At 42.4% G+C, this 21,926-nt stretch overlaps 1 protein-coding gene across 7 annotated transcripts in view, besides 2 other annotated features; it reads left to right on the top strand.

Moving 5' to 3' along the window:
• The window catches only part of GMDS (GDP-mannose 4,6-dehydratase), a 621,800-nt gene that overhangs the window by 447,569 nt on the left and 152,305 nt on the right, over positions 1-21,926 (top strand). The window lies entirely within an intron of this gene.
• Positions 653-832: an enhancer, noted in NCBI's record as "active region_23870". NCBI's record gives its function as "activates an Ori minimal core promoter by ATAC-STARR-seq in GM12878 lymphoblastoid cells {active_cell/tissue: GM12878}" and the evidence as "EXISTENCE:reporter gene assay evidence [ECO:0000049][PMID:35858748]".
• Positions 11,183-11,252: an enhancer, noted in NCBI's record as "active region_23869". NCBI's record gives its function as "activates an Ori minimal core promoter by ATAC-STARR-seq in GM12878 lymphoblastoid cells {active_cell/tissue: GM12878}" and the evidence as "EXISTENCE:reporter gene assay evidence [ECO:0000049][PMID:35858748]".

The raw sequence follows: 21,926 nt of genomic DNA, 5'->3' as shown, positions 1-21,926 counted from the left end.
TTTCCAGGAGTACTTTTGAATATATAAAACCAGGAAATAACTATGTGACATTCCTAGCATTAGAACTGAAAAATGAGTCAGAGACAAAACTGAAACAAACAGAGACATCAAAGTGTCTGTTATCAAAGTGCAGATGCCTTGACTTGTTAGCAAACCTGTCCTGGTATATGCCAAGGCATGGGATCTGGTAATTATAGAGGACACTCCAAGCTGTGCCCATTGGGGTCCACAAATGCACACCTTCCCTTGTATTTATGTGAATGGTGTCCCTTGGAACATAATTTCTGAGCTTCCTGGGTTCAGATACCGGCTCTGCCACACATCCTAGCTGTGAAATGCTGGCCAAGTCTATTAAGTTCTTTCTGCCTCAGTTTCTCTCTATGTAAAATGAAGATAATATTCATACTTACCTCATAGGATTCCAGTGGGAAATTAAACACATTAATGTGTGTAGCTTTGGACTGTGACTATTTTAAAATGTTAGTAACTCTGATGATGATGATAGTACTGACATATACTTGCCACTGTGCTTTTCATTGTACAAATCAAAACATCACAAAACACTTACTTGAGAGGAGCTTTCAGTTTCATAGAAAGTCAGCATAGGTGGACACAAGTCTATTAAAATATTTATGACCTAAGCTCAAGAAGGAAGTGAGAGAGTTCTTTTTACCTTTTTAACATGTGGAGTTTACCAGATACACCTGTGCTTATAGCAGGCCAGCTATAACATTTAAATGACAATTTTTCCACTGACTGGGGGGTGGGGACGCTTTCATGACAAAACTGTTTCACCTCAGATCATCAAGCATTAGAGTTTCATAAGGAGTGTGCCACCTGGATCCCTCGCACGTGCAGTTCACAGTAGGGTTCACGCTCCTGTGAGAATCTGATGCCTTGGCTAATCTGTCAGGAGGCAGAGCTCAGGCAGTAATGCTCGCTTGCAGGCTGCTCACCTCCTGCTTTGCGGCCCAGTTCCTAACAGGCCATATACTGGTACTGGTCCCTGGCCTGGGGTTTAGGGATCCCTGCTTGAGCACACAGCAGTCATGATCTAAGGATCATTTGTTGGGCATATAGTAACACCATTCTTCCTACATTTTTGAGCCATTTGAATAAACATTCCTCACTGAATCAGATCACTTTTTTACTGACTTACTGTAAGGGAATGGGTAAAGCATCTGATGAGCGTATCAAACATCACTACAGTTTGAAGGAGCTACATCTTTCCTAAGTGCAGAGGAAGGAAGAAGCTTGTTCTCTGCTTCCTCAAGTTTTTCGCTACTAAAACAAAGTGAGCATTTGAATGGAAAACACAGCAAATTAATATTTTATGATTGTTATTTTTAACTGAAGCGAGAGGGTCAGTGAATTATTATGTTGCTAATGGAGCAAGTGTATGTAGAAGTTCAATATTAGAAGATTGAAATAAATTTTGAGGGTTGTGATTTGAAGTCATATTATCCCAAGGAAATTTTCCAAAACAGCATCAAATCTGAGCTCCCAAACATGACTTGATCATTATGAGCATTTGGGGAGCTTTATAAAATTAGAGTTTCCTGGGCCCCTCTCCAGTATACCTAATTGCAGTCTGCAGGCGTGAGGCCTGAGAATTTGTATTTTTTAAAAGTGCCACAAGGGTCTGAAAATACACTAAGAGTAGTCTATAACCTGGACCAGCTTCACTTTTTATCCTATTTTTTGAAGATCTATCATACTGAAAAATGACAAGTTTCATACTTTTTCTTACATAGATTTTTTTTCCTACATGTCTTCCTGCCTAAGATTTAATGACTACAGATCCCAGATCTCGGTAAGCCTACAAGGAGGAACTATGAGGCTGGGTGGACTTCCAGAGCCAGCATTCCAGGATCTCTTCCCCAGAGCCCTGTCCACAGTTCACAGCTGCAGAGCCCTCCAGGTCCTGTGGGGTTGTTGAATAGAGAAGCATACACAACCCTGTGCTTACATGGGGAGAAGAACTCTTTCCGCTGAAGCCACACCTCTGGTTACCACTTTCTCTTCCGATACAGGCATCCTGCTAATTTGGTGGAGTTTGTAGAGAGAAGAGAACTGGCCAGTCCCCGCCTTCCCCCCATCTCTGGCCTCACTGTTTATTGGGTCACTGTGACTATGCAGATTATATATTTCGGATAAATTATTAGCATTCATCTGAGTGCTTATTTAGGGTCCTGTTGCAAATGTTTCTTGAATATTTTAAAATTAAGGAGATGTTTAAATTGAGTACACTGAAATGTGGATGACTGTTAATGTGAATGAACTGCTTTCAGAATAAGAACATTTATTTACAAGTTCTTTAAATTGCAAAGCTTATTATACCATTGAAGCATTTCATGTGAACTTTCTGTTTTGAACTAATCTTTAAATTTTATTTGCATTCAAAGCATATTTCCTCCTGATTTGCCCATTTCTCATTGTTTGATTATCATTTTAAAATCTGTAATGTTTCATTCACCTTTTAATTTTTCCCCAATAAGGAAATACAGTTTATGAGGCACGCATAGATACTCTTCCTAATAAATGATTTAAGAGAAATATATGCATATATGCATCATATATCTGTATGTATATATACAGATATATGGGAAAAGGGATGAATATTCAGAAGGAAGATCAGTAGACTCCACACAGTCATTTTAGCCATTAGACTAGTGTTGTATGCATTAGTGTAATTTTGATGCCTTGTGGGTTTTAGATATAACTGGGAATTCCTTAAAAAACAAAAAATCTGTACCTCAGAGTCTTTGGTAGCATGTAGAAGTCTATGTATGAAAATACATTCATTTTTGATGATGATGATGATTGTTATTATTTTTGAGACGGAGTCTGACTGTGTCACCTTGGCAAGAGTGCAGTAGTGCTGTCTCAGCTCACTGTAACCTCTGCCTCCCGGACTCAAGTGATCCTCCCACCTCAGCCTCCAGAGTAGCTGGGACTACAGGCATGCGCCACCATGCCTGGCTAATTTTTGTGTTTTTGTTTTTGTTTTGTAGAGATGGGGCTTCGCTATGTTTCCCAGGCTGGTCTCAAACTCCTGGGCTCAAGTAATCACCCACCCCACCTCAGCCTCCCAAAGTGCTGGGATTACAGGGGTGAGCCACCGCACCTTGACCCCAGCCTCATTTTAGATTACTTAGGATATCATCGTCCAGGTGCAGTGGCTCACCCCTGTAAATTAACTTTTAAATACATTTAATCTAGAATGGACCATCTGTCTCCTTTTCAGAGGTTCCATATGATTTTTATATATTTGGGATAAGAATGACGTGTCCCGAATAGTACACATATAAAGGTCTTGTCAGGAAATGTATATAGCTCTCAATCAATCTATAAAATGATTTGGGTACCATTGTTAATATCCAGAGTTGAGAGGAAGTTTTGAAAATGATATTTAATCATTCCTTCAACCCAACAGTGTTAACCCTACTGTGTTATGAAGTCAAACTGAGGCCAAATTCTCTAAGGCTAGTACATTTTCTGCAGCTTCTCAGTACCAGATTTGACCTCAGATTCTGTCCCTAGACATAGAACATTCCATGGTTTCGACCACCAACCAAACACCCAGCTTTCTATATAATGCCGTAGTTTCCTTTCCCTGTGATTTTTGCTGATATACATGTGTCTTTGTTTATTTAAATGTTTTGTACCACCTCAGTGGTTTATATATGGTGCTGCAATTTTCCAAGTATTTTTTTTTTTGCCTCAGTGAAGTTATTTTAGAGAATATCTTAGATTAATAAATCTTTGGATTAGAGTAGACATACGTAAATGGGATTTGGAATGCAATTATTTAACTGGAAATCTTCATGGGTTTATCATAAAAGGAGAAAGAACCCTCTAGGTGTTGATAGGGCATTGGAAAAGTGGCCAGTAAATTCATTTCAAAATGTTAGGATAAACTCCTCAGATAGATCCAAACATTATATTTTGTTGTTTCTTTTTTCTCATCCTCCTGGGATAATCATTCACTGACCCAATCTTTGTTTAGAAGTATCCGTCTTCATCCCCTGTTCACTTAAAATGAAGTTATTCCCACGTAAGTGTGTAAAGCCCTTTCCATCATTCCACTTCTACCATTATTGGCGACTCTGTCCTATAGACCTAAGCACATTATATTTTAAACTGAGTACAAACATTTCTTCATTTTTGGCAATAAGCTGGTCAAACTTTCTGTTTTTTTAAAATCTTAGACATTTGGGAGAAGCACTGAGATGTGAGATACACTGGCAGGGAATTTGTGTTTCTCCAGGAATACTAAGCAAAATGAGAAACCCAGAATTCCAGGTGACCATAAAATTGCAGAGAATGAAGGAAAAGGGTAGTAATTTTCCTCTACGTGGCTTTTGACTTCCTTTGGCATTTTAAAGTAGGAAGATGAGCTGCCTTCACAATAAACTATATGTATCACCTCTGTACACAAGGTACTCCAGTCTCCACCTGCGGTGGCTCAGAAACATCCAGGTGTCCTGGAGTTGATGACATTCGCTGACATAAAAGCAGACTCATCAAGTCCATGGACATCTTAAAGATCATAAGTCAGATTTTTGTTCATGAACTTCTTGAAAGAGGTCATTTAAGGTTTCCCACCCTGGTTCAGGCCTACTTTAAGGGGAAATGGAATTTATAAGTTTATCTGAATTTCTTGTAAACTGTTCTGAAGTGAGCTGGAACTCTTAAGCTCATGTTAACCTCTATCTCTATCCCTAGAACAGATTCATAGGCTCCTAAAGCCGTCCTGGAGTAGAGAAGTACCTCACAAATGCATAGTCATTTTATCATGGGTTCTGAGACTATCATAGAACACAGGACATTGGGGAATGTATCATGACCCAGGAAACTGCCCCACAGTGCCCCTGGAGGAAACCTGAAGAAGTCGTTTGTTGAAACTAGAAGAGATCACTATTGCAGTGAGTGTAGATAGGGAAAGGGCATCAAGAAAGGGGTGAAGATGAGATACATGGGGATTAGAGGATATACTGAAGAGTGAAAACGTCTAATAAGAATTTCATAGTGAGAGATGGAAAATATAAGGAAATTATCATATGAATATGTGAAGAAAATTTCCCAGAGCAGAATGTAATTCTTGAGATTGTAAAGGCTGTGTAATTGTCCAGCTCAGTGGATGAACAAAGACCCACACCAAATACTGTTATTGTCATATTTCAGCATTGGAGTTAAAAAGAAGATCATAAAACTTCCAGAAGTACAGATTTCAGACACATGATCAGGAGTAAATTTGGCATTCTATCAATATTGGAATAAGAAGCCAGTAGAGCAAAACCACCCTCTAAATTTTGGAAATGACTTTTAATTTGAAATTCTAAACCAAGTCAAGGTATTACAGATATTTTCAAACACATATCATTTTTAATGTAATTATCCTCCATGTACTTTTCTGAGAAAGCTATTGGTAGATATACTCTACCAAAACAAGGGAATACATCAAGAAAGGTGAAGGTGTAGTATTCAGGAATAGTTGCAGGAGATCCAACACAGAGAGAGAAGGGAATTCTCAGGATGACAGCAAAGGAAGTCCCAAGCAGACAACAGTAGCTGGTCTAGGTGAAACGATCAGTATCGAAGGTGAAACAAACTGGATTGAACACTGATCCCTTCAAGAGAGATGTTTCCAGGAGAAGAGTATAAAGGAAGCAGTAGGTTCTCTGACAGGTTTGAAGGTATGAAAAATTACATTGGCATGTGTGTTATAGAAAGTTGGAGAGTGTGAGAAAATGATATATAAGGAAAACTAATCCGAGGAAAAAAAAAAAACTAACAGTTAAGCCTGGTGGGGAAAGGGGATGGGTTTTTAAAGAAAGGAATGAAATCATGTTATACTAGTTGACTCTGAAGAAAATAATATTTATATAGAAACTAATAATTGCTACTATGAATATAGACTTAACCAAAAATTGAGAAGTAATTATAGAGGGGAAGTGAGTTTAAAAGTATATAAATATGCTAAAAATTCTGTAGTGCTGTAATAAGTCAGTAGTTAATTCCTCAAATACATCGATCAGGAGATAACAGAATAGACACATCATTTGGCAAACTATAAGTATTGAAAGGGGACTCTGAAGAGTCTGGCAAGGTGGGAGGAGCAAGAAACAAGAGATTTCTGTTTTTTATTATCAGTCTCATCAATATTTGACTTTCTATATTACTTATATATGCTATTTTGATTAGATTAAAAATTCATTAAAAAATGTGTCATTTGGCTGTATATTATAAACAGTAGTAAAGTTTAAAAATATATTCAGGTTTAATCTTTCCTAAAAACACCAAAATGCACGTTGTATTCTAGGAACAGGAAATAATATGTTAATTCCACTTAGGAGGAAGGGAACAAACCATACTTGTTTCTTATTTTTTCTGATTTTACAAAACCAGTGACTTAAAACAACACTGCTGTGGACTGAATTGTGTCTCCCCAAAATTCATATGTTGAAGCCGTAACTCCTAATGTGATCGTATTTGGAGATGTGGCCTTTGGGAGATCACTAGGTTTAGATGAGTTCAAGAGGCCAGGGCTTCATAATGGGATTAGTGTCCTTATAAGAAGAGGAAGAGACATCAGAGCTCTCCCCCAGCCCACCACGGTTGAGAACACAGTGAGAATGCAGCCACCATCTATAAGCTAGGAAGAGCATCCTCACTAGAAAAAGACCATGCTGGTAGTGTGATCTCAGAAGTATAGCCTCCAGGACTGTGAAAAAATAAATTTCTGTGTTTAAGCGCCCAGTACAAGGTAGTTTGTATTGGCAGCCCAAGCAAACTGAGACAAACACAAATTATCATCTTACAGTTCTGGAATCAGAAGTCCAAATGAGTGTTATAGTCAAGGTATCTAGCAAAGCTACATCCCTTCCAGAGGCTCTGGGGGAGAATCTGTTTCCTTGCCTTTTCCAGTTTCTAGAGGCCACCTGCATTTCTTGGCTTGTGGCTCTCTCCAGTGCCTACAAAGTACATTCTCTGTCCTTTGCTTCCATCATCACTTACCTTCTCTGTCTTCTGACCTTTTGCCTTGTAGCCCTTTGATGACATTGGGTCCACCTAGACAGCCGGGATCACTCCCCAACTCAGCATTCTCTTAATCACATCTGTGAAGACCATCTTGCCATGTGAGGTAACATAGTCACTGATTAGGAGTTAGGGCATGAACATCTTTGGGAGGCATTACTCAGCCTACCACAAGAGGTAAAGCAGGCAGCAGCAGAACTTCTTCACACTTAATCCCTAAGTATCACGATTGTTGTCAATGAACTGGCATTCACTGAAGACCACATATTCCTCGGTACATGTGGATATAAATGAAAATTCAAATCATACAATTATATATAGCTACTATAGAAAAACATATATACTATACAAAAACGATATATACTATATATAACCGCTATAGAAAAACTATAGAAAACCTCGATATGTTGGAAAATTTGGAAACTTCATGTAAAATTTGCCTCATGAAATTTTTATCTGCTTGTTTCCTTTAAAACAGGTAGGTAAGCCAACAGCAGCTACGAGTTTAGGTGCTAGAGTCAAAGAGTTTTAAAAGCCAACTTCACTTTCTGTGTGAATCTGAACAAGTTACTCAGCCTCTCTACATTTCACTTTTGCTTCTTTATAAAATAAAGAAAATAGTAGTGTCTGCCCTACTGGGCTGTGGTAAGACCATGCCTAACTCCCATGGAGACTTTGGAGGCATTCAGTAATTGTGAGCTCTTATTATTATTATTGCTAATTATTGGCTCATCTTCTTTTTGAGAAGAGGGGCTTGTCTAATAAGCCCTAAATGCTGAAAATTTCTTTCTGAGCTGTCATACTGGAGTGTGACCATTTATTTCTGGATTTCTCACCAAGTGAGTAGGATTGATAAGATTGTTGACAGAAAGAGTGAGGTTTTCGGGATGACTCTGAAAATGTGAGAAGCAGTTCATCAAAAATAATAAGAACTTTCATAGCAATAAATGCAATGTCATATATTTAGGAACAGAAAAATGTATCTTTATGAATACGAGATGGGGAAAGACTGATAGAATATACCAGAGTGGATCACAAATGATAGAGGCTCATAAATATAAGTGTGATATTATTTAAACAGATATGCCACTTCTTTAAATGCTAGCATAATATTTAGCTATGCTACCAGCAGTAAGATACAATTAGAAAGTAATTTTAGGCTGGGTGTGGTGGCTCACACCCACAATCCCATCACTGGGAGGCTGAGGTGGAAGGACCACATGAACCCAGGAGTTCAGGACTATCCTGGGCAACATAGTGAGACCCCATCTCTACAAAAAAAATACACAAAAATTAGCCAAGTGTGGTGGCATGCACCTGTAGTCCCAGCTACTAGGGAGGCTAAGGTGGGAGGATTGCTTGAGCCTGGGAGGTCGAGACTGCAGGGAGCCGTGATCGCACCACTGTGCTCCAGCCTGGGTAACAGAGCAAGAGCCTGTCAGGAAAAAAAAAAAAAAAAAAAAGAAAAAAGAAAAAGAAAAAATAATTTTTTGTCAAGTTCTATCTAACTTATATAATAAAGAATTTGGCCTTTGTCCTGATTCCTAGGAGGGAGACTACATCCTTGGCATTTCCTAAGTAATAGGAGCGTCTCTGTAATTCATGGTGGGCCCCTGTATGGTTTCAGGGTGGGGGCTGGCCAAGCTAGATAAGCCAACCATGGGCTTAGAGAGTCAGGGCCTTGAGCCAAGTGAGGTCAGCATACGGCCAGTGGTTCAGTCAGTCATGACTATGTAATGAAACCTCAATAGAAACCCTGGGCAGTGCAGCTTCTGGGTAGTGAACACGTTGATGTAATAAGGGGGTGATGCATCTTGAGCACATGGAAGCTTTGCCTTTGGGGCCCTTCCAGACCGTCCCCTGCTGTCCCTTCATTTGGCTGGTCCTGAGTTGTATCCTTTCTAATAACACTGTCATTACATGACTATTGTGTCCTGAGTTCTGTGAGTCATCCTAGCAAATTATGAAACTTAAGGTGGAGACCCCTCAGGTTTATAACCAGTTGGTTATAAGTGCAGGTGACCTGGGGACCCGCAAACCGGGGCTGGTGCCCGAAGTGAGGGCTGTCTCGTTGGGGATCATGCCCTTCAGTCTGCAGAGTCACTTCCTAACTCCAGGTGGGTAGCAGCAGAATTGCTTTGCAGTTTTACACTAACACATAGAGGAAAATGAAAGGGTGTCCAGAGATCTAAGTTAATTAATTTTTTTATTTTAACTAAAATCCAACAAATGGCTTTTGAAAGAGTTAAAATTATTTGACCTAAAATATAGAGTTCCATTAACAGCATTTGAGCCAAATTCCAGCATTTGAGAAACTTGGATATTTCTTAATGACTAGATTGAAGGTTAGCCCTAAATTAGAGGTTTGTGAAAAAGGAGAATTCTGACAGAAGCTCTTTTTCTCTTACCTGAAGTAATGAAGTCATCACCTGCAGGTCTTATTGTTCCCCTTCCATTGCTAGTGTAATATCAGAAACTACCTCTTTCTTGTAACTATTTCCAGGCAGATCTTCCCAGACATTTCTGCCAGGAAACCCCAGGATAGTAAAGCCTGTGAATGAATTGATGCATACCTCTTAGGAACCAACAAAATGCCCCCAGAATTAAGCCATTCATGTGCTACTGCCTCCCTTTAACTCTTGTCCCATTGCTTTTTAATTTTGAAGAAATTGAAGAATCTATTGGAGTACACAGTACGCGTAAGACATCCTTTACCTGTGCAATTCTGCCCTGCATTCTTTAAGCCTGCCTGTTCCTCCACCTCCCTGGTCTGAACTCTGGATCGCCCTCCCGACTGTGGCCTTGGTCGGCTCCCAGTCTTTGCCTCTGTCTCCCTTACTTGTGACTCATGGTTTCCTCTCTGTGCCTGTTTCTGGCTTGCTTGCCAAGCCTTTCCTCATTGCCTGTCTAACCTCCACATGTTAATATTCCAATTTGACATCTGGGCGACTGAGAGCAAGGGTGAGCAACCTGCCAAGGCTGCACGGTGGGCAGTGGCAGGTCTGGGCTCCCAGTCTGCCTGTCTCGGGTTGCCTTCTCCACACTCTCCCATGCCACCTCCCACTAGCCGCACCTCCAGCACCAGGCGGAGGTCCACATTTCAGTCCTGTACACACTCCTCTTTGAAAAATGATGCATTTGCCAGCAAAACCTTAGGGTTAAAAAGTTTACAAAAGTGTGTGTGTCCCACAAAAAATATTCCAAACAAAATCCCCTCTTTTCTGTATTTACGCATTTCAGGCAGCTTATGAAATTGATGTGGGCTTTGTTTCTACTCTGCAGTCTGAATTCTGTCTTTGGTGTCCAGGAAAATGTTTTTATACCTTCTTCACATTAAAAATGTTTCAAGTATCCAGGACTTGTTCGCTCTCCTTTTTCATGTATTTAGATGAAGAGACTTTGCATATTAATTTTGTTGTTTAAAAAAGAGTCAAACCAATTGATACTAAAATTAAAAAGCTAACAATTTAGATCCAACAGAACATTTCAAGATCTGTTTTTTCCCTTACTGTAAGTGAAATTCCCATTAATGGCAGCCAGGCCTGAACACCGATAGTGAATGGGGCCTCTCGTGTTCTGAGATGGACTTATCACATGGTTAGCAGCTGGGATTTATGTGGAGACTCATTAAATAAAACAGCAGTGGCAGCTACCTCCTGCTGTAGTACACTTGGAGGTACAGTACCTGAATTTTTCCAATCCTAGCTGGTCCTTTATACTTTGTTTTATGTCTCGCTCATTTTTCTGACTGGTCTTGACATTTTCTGACCTCACAGTGCTTTTATTATTATTTTTATTGCTACTAGAACAATGATAACTCATGACTCTGATTTATATGATGGCAGCTTAGCCAGGGGAGAGATTAAGGCATACCCAAAAACATGCAGTAAATGTTCAAGTCTATTAGCCTTTCGCTTTTATTAAGTGGGAAACTTTAGTTTTGTTTTGACACAGATGAGTCTGGAGAGTCATGAGTGGCTGCGGGGCTGAGCTTGCTGATGGGCCCTTGGCTGTGGGTACGCGCTGGCAGAGTGGCGCGAGGCTGTAGGTACGTGTGAGGTGGCTCATGGTCACAATCCTGCAGTCAGCTCACTCACTTCCGTTGTACATTTTGAGTAACTGGTAGTCATTCTTTTGTTCTTTTCTTTTCCACTGTAATCATAGTTTTCAACTTACTGCAGTGATAAAAAAAAAAACCACAAATTACTGACAGATTTCCTTGATTTTAATAATTTCGCTATACAACTGTCTCATTTAGGAGATGCCACAGCTCCTGCTCTCATAACCAAAACCAGGCTCCTGGGAGTGTGGGCAGCATTGCTTCGAGCTTCCAGGCCCAGAGACTTTTTCAGGCCTCTGTTGTGCTCAGTCTGTAGGGAGGAGACTGCCCAGCGCCACTCCAGGTAGTGCCTGAACCATCACAAACTCAGGGCCAGAGTTCAGTTCATTTGGCCCCAGTGTGTGGCCCCAGCCTGGGATGCTGAGGTCCCCTCCTGCCCATGAAGCCTCTGCTATGCTTGCTCAGGCTGTGCGAGGGGCTTGTCTTAAGTCTTTGCATCCTATTCCCAGAGACTGGAGTCCCACTCTTTCCCTGGCCTGCTGGCCTTGGTTCTTACTGGTGCTTGCCCATAGCCAACCCTGCTTCCTGTGCTGCTTCCCTCAGCCGAGGCTCTAGACCTCCTGGATGCTTTTTACTGAGGCATTGCATTTCCATCTTTCTGGATCACAGTTATCAACCTCATTGATGGCTGCAATTTAATGAATTTTGGTGATGAACTGAATTGAACTGTAAATGATAAAACATTTTCATGGAGTTATTAAAATCACATCATTCTGCATAGATTATATGACCTTGAGCTTCACTAGAAAGACTTTCCAAGACCTTCACCGTCTCCAAATTCTCGGACGGCACTGGAATATCACGCTGAAGCAGCAGCACGCTGGTTTTACGTGAATTTTTTTTTCCTTTACCGCTGTCATATTTAACATCTCACTCCTTAATATTTCAGATTTCTGACTAAGAACCATCTCTGCTGAGCCTCTTCTCCTCCTCCATCAGCACTTGCATTGGAATTTATTTCCAGGAGCATTTTTCACAAAGGAAATGTCATCCCTTCTTGGGAGTAAGAGGGTGCTGAATGGTGCGCAGAAAATGAGCACTGCTGAAGCTCACAGAGATGAGCTCTACCAAGCCACTATGGCAGATTATGCTCTAAATACGACCACATTGGAGTCCCACATGCTCTTCCAGAGCCTTGCTACCCCCATCAGGAGATGGAGCCTCCTTCCCTGCCGAGGATGCTGGGCAGGATGGTCATGGCTGCCCAGATGAAGAGAAGACAGGGCTGGTGCTGAGGCAGGTCGTGGCAGGCAACACTGCCCCACCTGACTTGCTCTCGTGGGATCTAGTCATTGTCCTGGGAGGATGCCCAAGGGGGCCCACGTGGCGAGGGCTGCGTAGAAGGGCCTGGAGGTCAGCACTGACCTCCAGACATAGGAGTGAACGGCCTTTCCAACAAGTACAGCTGCCAGCTGTGGAATCTCCCAGCTCAGGCCCCAGACAACACCTCTGTCCAAATTGCGGGCCCAAAGAATTCATGACCATAGGAAATGGTGGTCTTAAGCTACCAAGTTTTAAGGCAATTTGTTCTTGCTACTTGTTAGAATTTTTCTTGACCTACCATCTAGAGCTCTTTTTTATTTTTTACATTCCATGCTGAAGATTTATTAAGAGCACAAATAAAAACACGTTTTTATTTTGTTTTTCAATTACTAACCACCTAGATTTGTTATAGCAAGACAAAGAGCTTCATGAATTATATACATAACCCTGTTTAGGTAATATAACTCTCTGTTAGAAAATAATGGGTCAACTTCTTAGACTTTGAGGTGTTACTATAGCTTTATCCAGCAGTTTTATGTTGATTCTTGCCCTGTTAGACTAAAAAGCCACCTTTTATCCTTTCTTTGAGAAAAATTTGTTATAGCACAGATTGTTTCTGCATCAGAACTATTCTTGAAAATTCTCTAAGTAACTTTTTCTTCATATTTTATGAATAGTAATGTTCAAAACTAATTGTGCAGTAGTTCAATTAATTGTGCAATTGTTGGTGTTCTGCAGTGCTCCCTCAGTCAGATCCGCAAAGGCATAACAGTTGTAGCTTGGAGAATGACATCAGTGCACTTTACACATAAGCAAAGGAAGGAAGCTTGCTGCTGGGTGGTCAGCCTTAGTTCAGTGTTCCATCCAAAAGAAGCATGAGCCAGCCACACTGTGAAGCATGGGAAAATGGTTTTATTCTTTTCTGCAGTCTCTAGAAGAAGTGGCATAAGGGTGTCAATCACATGACCCAGAGCAGTAAGTCCAAAAGTTTCTCTACCATCCATCTCCCCAGATGTCTCCAGATTTGTTTTATCCCTCTCAGCTCCAGACTTTGCTCTGACATCCGGCCAAATCTGCTGTCTCCTCTCTCCCCTCTGGCTCTGGCCTCTGCTCTCCTTCCCGCCCCGGGTAGTCCTGGGATCAGGCAAACCGAACATCCTCAGGCAGGGGAAAGGGAAGGAGTTTTGCGAAAATTTTCTTTTTTTTTTTTTTTTTTTTTTTTGAGACGAGTCTTGCTCTGTCACCCAGGCTGGAGTGCAGTGGCGTGATCTTGGCTCACTGCCACCTCCACCTCCCAGGTTCAAGTGATTCTCCTGCCTCAGCCTCCTGAGTAGCTGGGATTACAGGTGCCCGCCACCACACCCAGCCAATTTTTATATTTTCAGTAGAGACGGGGTTTCACCATGTTGGTCAGATTGGTCAAGATTATCAAACTGACTTTTCAGTTCTCTGTCCCATATTATTATACTCAGAAATCTTTTTAAATGGACAAAAATAAATAGCCCACCTATAACATACAAATATTACTTTTATTACAACAGATTTAATTTCCTAATTTTTTTTACTCCTGTTAGGGCCTTAACTAAGGCCTTCAGTGAAGTTGAGACATGTTCATGGTTTGGGGTTTTTTTAGGCTTGTTCATCTTGTGTCACAACCTACTGAGTTATCACAAAATCCAGGGCTTGCATAGACCCAGGGGCAAGGGACAGGGCTTCATAGTCACCCAGAGTAACCTTCACATCGCAATGTTGTTTCTGTCACTAAGTACAAAGAGCCTCATGGCCTTTTAGTATGTGTATTTGAAGCTTATTAATGTGAATGAGCAAGCTTCCTTGTCAGATAGCTTATACCTACTGAATGTTTTCAAATTTCTCTCTACCTTGTTATTTTCAGTAGTAATAAAATTACCACCTCTTAAAATAGCCAAGTATTTATTGTAGCAATGTTATCACTACCTATGTAAAACATCATGGCTTCTCCTAAGGAACAAGGAAAGGTTAAATTTATTCAGTGTGCATTTTATTATTTTGATTCACTAATTTTATTCAGATTCTATATTGCAAACAATAAGAGAATCGTGCTCCTCCATTTGGATTGTCTTTGATGTGTGGATCCTGACTTCAGTGTTTGTCTGATACTTGAGTCAGGCATTAGGGATACAGTGGTCAACGAAGCACCATACTTCCATACTTCCCTCAAGGGATGTATAATTTTGCGGGACATGCCCAAGTAAATAGATTATTAAAATATCAGAGCCCATTAAGACTTGCACCTGCACCCCGTGGAACCTCAGGAGCAAGATCTCCCAAAGGAAGGGATATCAGAGTCTTTAAGTTGAGTGATTAAGTCCTGTTTGAGGTTTGGTGTTAAATAACTTGTTCAGAATTCAGCTCCCCAGTTACTCCCCTAGTTATACCAGTTTCTTAACCTTCTCCTCTCTCCTCTCCTCTCCTCTCTTTGGCAAGGTCTCACTCTGTTGCCCAGGCTGGAGTGCAGTGGCGTGATCTCTGCTCACTACAGCCTTGACCTCCCAGGCTCGAGTGATCCTCCCACCTCAGCTTCCAGAGTAGCTGGGACCACAGTTGCATGCTAACATGCCCGACTATTTTAAATTTTTTTTTGTAAAGATGGAGTCCCACTATGTTGCCCAGGCTGGTCTCAAACTCCTGGGCTCAAGCAATCCTCCCACCTCAGCCTCCGAAAGTTTTGGGATTACAGGCATGAGCCACCACACCCAGCCTCTGTGATCCTTTCTTGACAGAGAAATAATAATGCCTCCTTTACAACGTTATTCTGAGAATTAGACAAGTTCACACCCAAGTATGGGGTAGTGCCTGGCCCACAGTGGACATTTAGTCAAATTATTTTATAAGTGTTTTATTTCATTTTGATCTATGTTCTCATTTCACCCGTACTTATTCCTTCCTAACAACTTCCTAATATTTGCCTTTGCCAAGAGTGAGTTAAAATCAGTAAGCTCTAAAAATCAGCCAGTTAGCCATGAGGCATGTCTATCCAAAGTCTCTTTATAAAGAGCATTCATCCTTCTATGGGTAATACGAAATTTGTGTTTGAAGATGGTCCCATTTTCTCTAAATTCAGGTTTTTATTAGTCCTAACAAAGTTGGTCTTAAGGCTTGGACTGGAAAGATATTATTAAAAGATTACAGATTTGAAGCTTCTTGTGGCCTCTGATGAGATAATAAAAATGTTATCTATTTGTCCTTACTCAAGATAAATAAGTAAATGAATGTTCACAGAGCTTAAATTGTAGATGAGTGTGTTTGGTTATGGGCATCTGGAAACAGTGACTCCTACAGTACACCTATGTTTAGGCTTATTGGTTTGGTGTTTTATTTTTCCTTCATGCTTTTTAAATACATGTAACTGGGTCTTTTGCTAGAAATATATTTTGGGCTAAGTTGGTATAAGGTAGTAAATGAAAGAATTGGACCAAATTCTGTGAGTCTGGACTAAACTGGGTCAAATTCTCTTTCTTCCATGCAGTTTCAATAGAATTCCATTGAATTAATTTTACTCATCATAAAATCAGTTGTATTTCAAGCCTGCTTCAAGACTCTCAGATCCTTTTGATCCAAGCACAACAGCCTGTTGCTGTGCAGTCTGTTGAACTTGGCGGCGAGGTGTAGGGACCGGGATTTGTGTTTGAAGTTAGCCCACTTTACTCCTGCTCGTCAATATTTCAGGACAGCTGGGATTCTCTAAAAATCAGTTTTTGCCAAAAAAAAAAAAAAGTTGGTTTGAGAGGATTGCACCAGTTCTATATTATTATTCCTACAATACTGTAAAATTGTACAAAGGCCCCCATGACCATTAAGAATATTGGAATATGGTGACTCATCTTTCAGTACTAAGTTGAAAGGAAAGGAAGTTATGACCAGCAGGGTTCATTTCAGAGGATATTCACAGCGGGATGTTATTCTCCCGGCTGACAATTCAGAGGGCTTAAGGCCATGTGTGGAAGAGCCATCACCACATTTGATTTGAGGTGGCCTCACCTGGGTGTGAGGGTGCCAGGGAGACAGCAGAGGGGAGTAGGCCCTAGAGTTCAGGCTTCACACGCAGGCACTCAAGCTCATCAGGCCCAGTGGGAGCAGTGGCCTGAGGAAGTAGGCAGAAGGCTCGGCAGAGTCAGCTTGAGGAGCAGAGGGCTAGAAGCCCAGGCCAGGGCCCAGAGTAGCACAACAGCAGAAACCCACGCCAGCGAGAGTAAGCAGCGAGAGCCCAGGAGCCGGGCAGCAATCTGCACACTGGGCAAGGACCACCAGCAGCAGCAGGAACACAGCCCATTCTGAGCTCTGTCCTTCACCCGGGACCTGAACCAGCAGCAAGGACACCTGGAGGAAGGACCACGAAGGCAGGGAGCCAGGCAGAGCTGGAGACCCCTTCGTGAGGCCTGCCTTGGTTCCCTGAAACACAAGGCCATTTTCTTACTGTTGGTCAGCAAAGAGCTTTTTCTAAACAGCAAGCTGTCATGTGCCTTCTCGGTGTCCTTCGTCTTGCAATCGTGTTTTCCCACTTAAGGCGAGCGCTTGGGATTCGATGCTTTTACAACACAGATTGGTTTTTGTCGAACTGCAACAGTTTCAGAGAAAAACTCGCTCCCCACAGACCAGTCTTCAAACTCAAACTGTGTTCAGAATGAGATGTGAAAGGAAAAGGAGAAGGGAAATCTGGTTCTAGTTTTTAAAATATAAGTTTGGTTCCTTGATGTAATTTGTAAATCCTGGGTTACAGTTCAGTCTCTCTGATTAAATGGAATCATCACCTTGGTGTATAACAAAGCAAAACAAGATGGCGAAGTTCTTCTGAGTCTGACATCTCACCAGGCACTAGGACTCCTGTGATGGCGTGAGCGAGCCCTGCAGCCTGGGGAGGTGGCAGTGAGCCGTTGCGTGTTGATGCTGCCGGCACCTGGGCAGGAGACGGGCAGAGGATGGGCAGAGCAGCGCGGGAGCCAGCTCCTGGGCCTGGCACCCAGCAGCCCCGCTCTCCTCAGGCAGGCAGAGAGGCTGGGAAGCAGGAGGGGAAGGAGAGGGTTTATAACTGACCAAAAGGCTCCTGGTGCTGCAGACAGGCAGAGAGGTGGAGGCCCTGCCATGCCGTCCTCTCCCAGGCCAGCAGAGGAAGCGCTCTCAGGAAGCTGTGGGGACACCGTTGCCACTGCATGAGTAACCCATAATAACAGTAGTAGTTGCCATTTATTGAATACATTCTGTGTGTCTTCTAGCATCCTTGGTACTGTAATTTAACCCCTAAAAGAATCTCTGTGGCACTACATGGTAGTATCATCATTTTACAGATGAGAAGACTAGGGCCTGGAGAAGTGATTTGCCTGAAGTCACACATTGCCAAAGGATTAGAAATCATTATTTAGAAAACAAAACTTTTACTCATCAAACTTACTTATACAAAACACAATTGCCAGCATGTATCTTTACGTATAAGCCAGGGACAGGCTGCAAGCGGAGCAAGAGTGTCGGATTCACTTCGCTCTTTTTCGATTTGGCGTCCATTCCCCACTTTGAGTGAGGCGTGCTCACGGTGGCTCCTGGCCTGAGAGAGCTGTTGGGTGGGATGTGTCCTCAAAAGACTAAACTCAGAACTGGACCACACTGTGCCTTTGGTGGCCTTCAGCCAACCGAGGCAGGATTTGGGAAAGGTGATTCTCTCCAGCAGTTTTGGTACCAGCCTGGCTGTGTCTGGTGTTCACTAAAATATGCCTGATATGACAGTCACAGGGCCGACTTCCACTCCGCTCTGTGCACTCGAAACACAGACACTTCGCTCAGTTACGTCTGTGGCCTTCAATGAGTTAAAGAAGAAATTGAATTTGGTCAGTGTTTTTTTCATTTTACCACTATCAGTTAGAGGGACAGGTTCGCATCCATGATTGAGTCATGCTTGTGCAGCTGCTTATACGCTGTTCTTGGGAGGGGATGGGAAACACAAGAGCGCTTTTGGGGTCATTTCCTATCAGAGGACATTCGTTTTCACACAGACGCACACTCATGGAGGACATGAGGATTGTCTCTGCAGGGGTCACACGCATTGTTTCTCGCTGGAAAATCGCAGACTCTATCAAAAACTTTCCTTCCAGAGTCATTGTCTCTAGAAGCTTCTCAATTCACACACAGTTACCTTTATCTGTGGTGGCAGTTGGAGGCAGAGGGCCCAGGTAGAGTCCCAGGCTGTTAATTCACCTGATCTGTGACCCTGGGCATTGGCAAATGCATCAGGATGCCACAGGAGCACTTCCAGCTCCAGAAGCAGGATACTTCCCCCGGCCAGGAGGCTGTGTTAGTGGGACTGGGCTAGAATGGTCAGAACTGGGCCTGGGCTCAGAGGGGAGCATCAGGGGATGAAAGACCCTCCTCTGAAGTTTCCAGTAAGTGGAGCCTTGGACAGAAAGTCCTCCAGCATGACCCTGAGAGGGCTGCTGGAGGAAGGCTGTCCTCGTACCCAGAGGCATGTGGACGGTGGTGATCACATCTGGTCTGATTTCTAAACAGAGTACAGCTCATTTCTCTTGAGACCCCCACTTGAGCGCTCCCTCCTCACTCCCACCCCAGCCAGGACTGGTCCAGGGATCAGCATGGGAGGCCACGCCAGCACTGCGAGATGATGGGGTAGGCCTTTGAAGGGCCAGACACGGCAATAAGAAACCTGAACCAGGAGGGCAGCAGGGGTGTTGGGGTTGGAAAAACATTTTCAGGCGTATTTCTGCTATAAGAGAAAAAAAAAACAAGAAAATGCAAGGGGCCAAGTTCTGACTGCAGAGCTGGTACAGTCCTGGCCCACACTGGTCAGGCTGCTGCTGTCGACGAGCTTTGAGGTCTGAGCTGCAAACGTCAGCAGGCTTTTTCCTGGCTGGCAGGAAGGGAAAGTTCCCTCCAGTGACAGACAAAAATAATGGATTTGGGGCAAGTCTAGGCCTTCAGAGGTTATAGTGAAAATTAATGGAGGGCCACGTTAACTAATGTTACTCTAATCCTGCAGTTCGAGACATTGGGCTAAATTTCTGTTTTATGGCATGTTTTACAAACTAACCTATTTTAGATCTTGGAACACTCCAGGCTGGAGTAAGTTCCAGGTCAGGAAGGCTGCCCCCTCCTCTTGAATTCCACAGTTCCTTGGCCACTCCTCAGCACAGTGCCCGCCGTTCCACTCGTCTGCTGTCTCCACTGAACCTTTAACATCAGCTCATTTATCTTTCAGGTGTTATAATAATTGACTTCAATCAGTATTCCATTATCCTAAACAGGCAATTATCCACATTGTCACTTTTGCATTTGCTCTTTTGACCTAGGGGTCACAGAGGCCCTAGTGTAACAGAATCCAGCAAAGTTATTCCCTTACCTGTCATATAAATAGTCATCCCAGCAAAATGAGACCCAAGGGCGCTTTTCGTGAGGTGTTGAGAAGGCCAGTCTAACTCGATCCTTTATTCAGCTCTTTAAGGAATGCAGTACTGTTTTGGCACTCTATCAAAATAAAACAAAGTTCCATTTTTCAGCTTCTTTTTTTAATGCGTGCACCCCTGAGCTTACAAATGCTTCTTTGTGGCCCTCTTTATTGAAATTTCCATTCAGCTCTTCCATCTGTTAGCTGTGTTTACCTCTATTTCTAGGGAAAGAATTCAGCATTTCACCTTTATTTGGGGTGTAAGGTCATAAAACTGTCTGGATTATTTCAGCTATATTTATACCAAACTTAATATTGCTTCTTTAACAGGTTTAAAGCTTTTAATTCCCTGGTTCGTTATTCATGGTGAGCCGTCTGCTGAGAACAGTTTGCATTTTATAATGGAGAAGGTACTTTATACCCTCTTGCTATCCCTCCATCCCCCGAAGAAGAAAGTGTTCCACAAATGTGAATTTCATCCAAAGATCATCTAATTTAAACTCTAGTTCTATTCCCTACACATGCCTGCTGAATGCACATAATTGCATTTCAGGAGCAGAGACGTGTTCAACATTCTCCTTTTTCCTAGAAATATTGATGTCATTACAATCTCGGGAAACTCTTTTCAGAGTGATGGTGTAACACACACTGTTGAAATGGAGTCTCCAGATGGAGCTGGTGTGTGTGTGTATTTTCTTAATTTTTCAAAATAAAGTGACTTCAGCCTTCAGCAGTAAATCTGGAAGTATATCAAGAAGAAATATAGAAATAACATAAAATAAAAATATAAGCAGATTAGTTTTCTTTCTAGAATTGCCACATTTAAAAAAATATCACACATCCTCCGAAGCAACATGAACATTAAGGAAGCAGTGTGGAATAGTGGAATGAACATTACCTTTGAAGTGGACAGGATCTCCAGGCTGCCTAGGAGCTGTGCTATGTAGGCGCAGCAGCGCGTCTCCCCTCCATGTCTTCTGCCACCCAGCAGGAGCCACGTAACCTGTTTCACTGCCGGCGTGAGGATTAGGGGTATGGCCCATGCCCATATGGTGCCTGGCACACGGTAGGCATTCATCAGTGAGGGGCTTTATTATCATTATGCCAAATTTTACAGGGTAAAATGTGCCTAGAATTAGTGTCTAAAGCCGTTTGTTTTCACACTCATGATTATCTAACACCTCATCTATCATCTGGGACCTCTGGCCAGATCCCCACCTACAGATGCTCTTGTTGTTGCTTCCTTAGTTGATGAGGTTTGGGCCACATCCCCCCAGGACTTGGCAGATCTTGGGGGAGAAGAGTGTCAGTCTTCACCCGTATATCTGCGCATTTCCTGTTTAATGGTCTTTCAGGGCAGGCAAGCTAAGTGCCCAGATAGAAAGGAGCAAAATCAGTGCTTTGAAAATTTACTTAGAGGCAGGTTTCGATGGTGTAAATCTGAAACAGAGCCTAACAGTCCACATATTTCACTCTCAAGTGATGCCCACAGACCTTAATTTTTTTAGGGACAAGGTCTTGTTATGTTGCCCAGGCTGGAGTGCAATAGTGCAATCATAGCTCACTGCAGCCTCCAACTCCTGGGCTCAGAGTGATCCTCCTGAGTAGCTGGGACCACAGGTACATGCCACCATGCTCAGCTAAATTTTTTTTTTTTTTTCTGTAGAGACAGAGTCTTGCCATGTTGCCAAGGCTGGTATCAAACTCCTGGCCTCAAGTGATCTCCATGCCTCGGCCCCCCAAAGCACTGAGATTACAGATGTGAGCCACCACACCTGGCCCCACAGACCATTTTTTGAAAACCAAGGATTTAATATTCCAAAAATTCTGTGTGGGACATAATTCTTCGTAATAATGGCGATGCCTTAGATTTAACGAAATCTTAAATGAAAATTCTATGTATTTTTGCATCGTTTGTTCAAAGAGAGGCAGCAACTGTCCTCTGACTTTCCAAACTCGATGGAAAGAGAAATGGTCTTTATTCACTGCCCTCCCATGAATGGTTGAGAAAACTCTGTGTCTTCTTGAGCCTGGTGTATAGTCAACTCCGGATTCTGAACGGTCACGGCTTTCGTT

Source organism: Homo sapiens, chromosome 6 (assembly GCF_000001405.40).
Source record: "Homo sapiens chromosome 6, GRCh38.p14 Primary Assembly".
Taxonomy (NCBI): domain Eukaryota; kingdom Metazoa; phylum Chordata; class Mammalia; order Primates; family Hominidae; genus Homo; species Homo sapiens.
The sequence above is the reverse complement of the archived record's forward strand: the minus strand, read 5'-3'. Positions and strand labels throughout refer to the sequence as shown.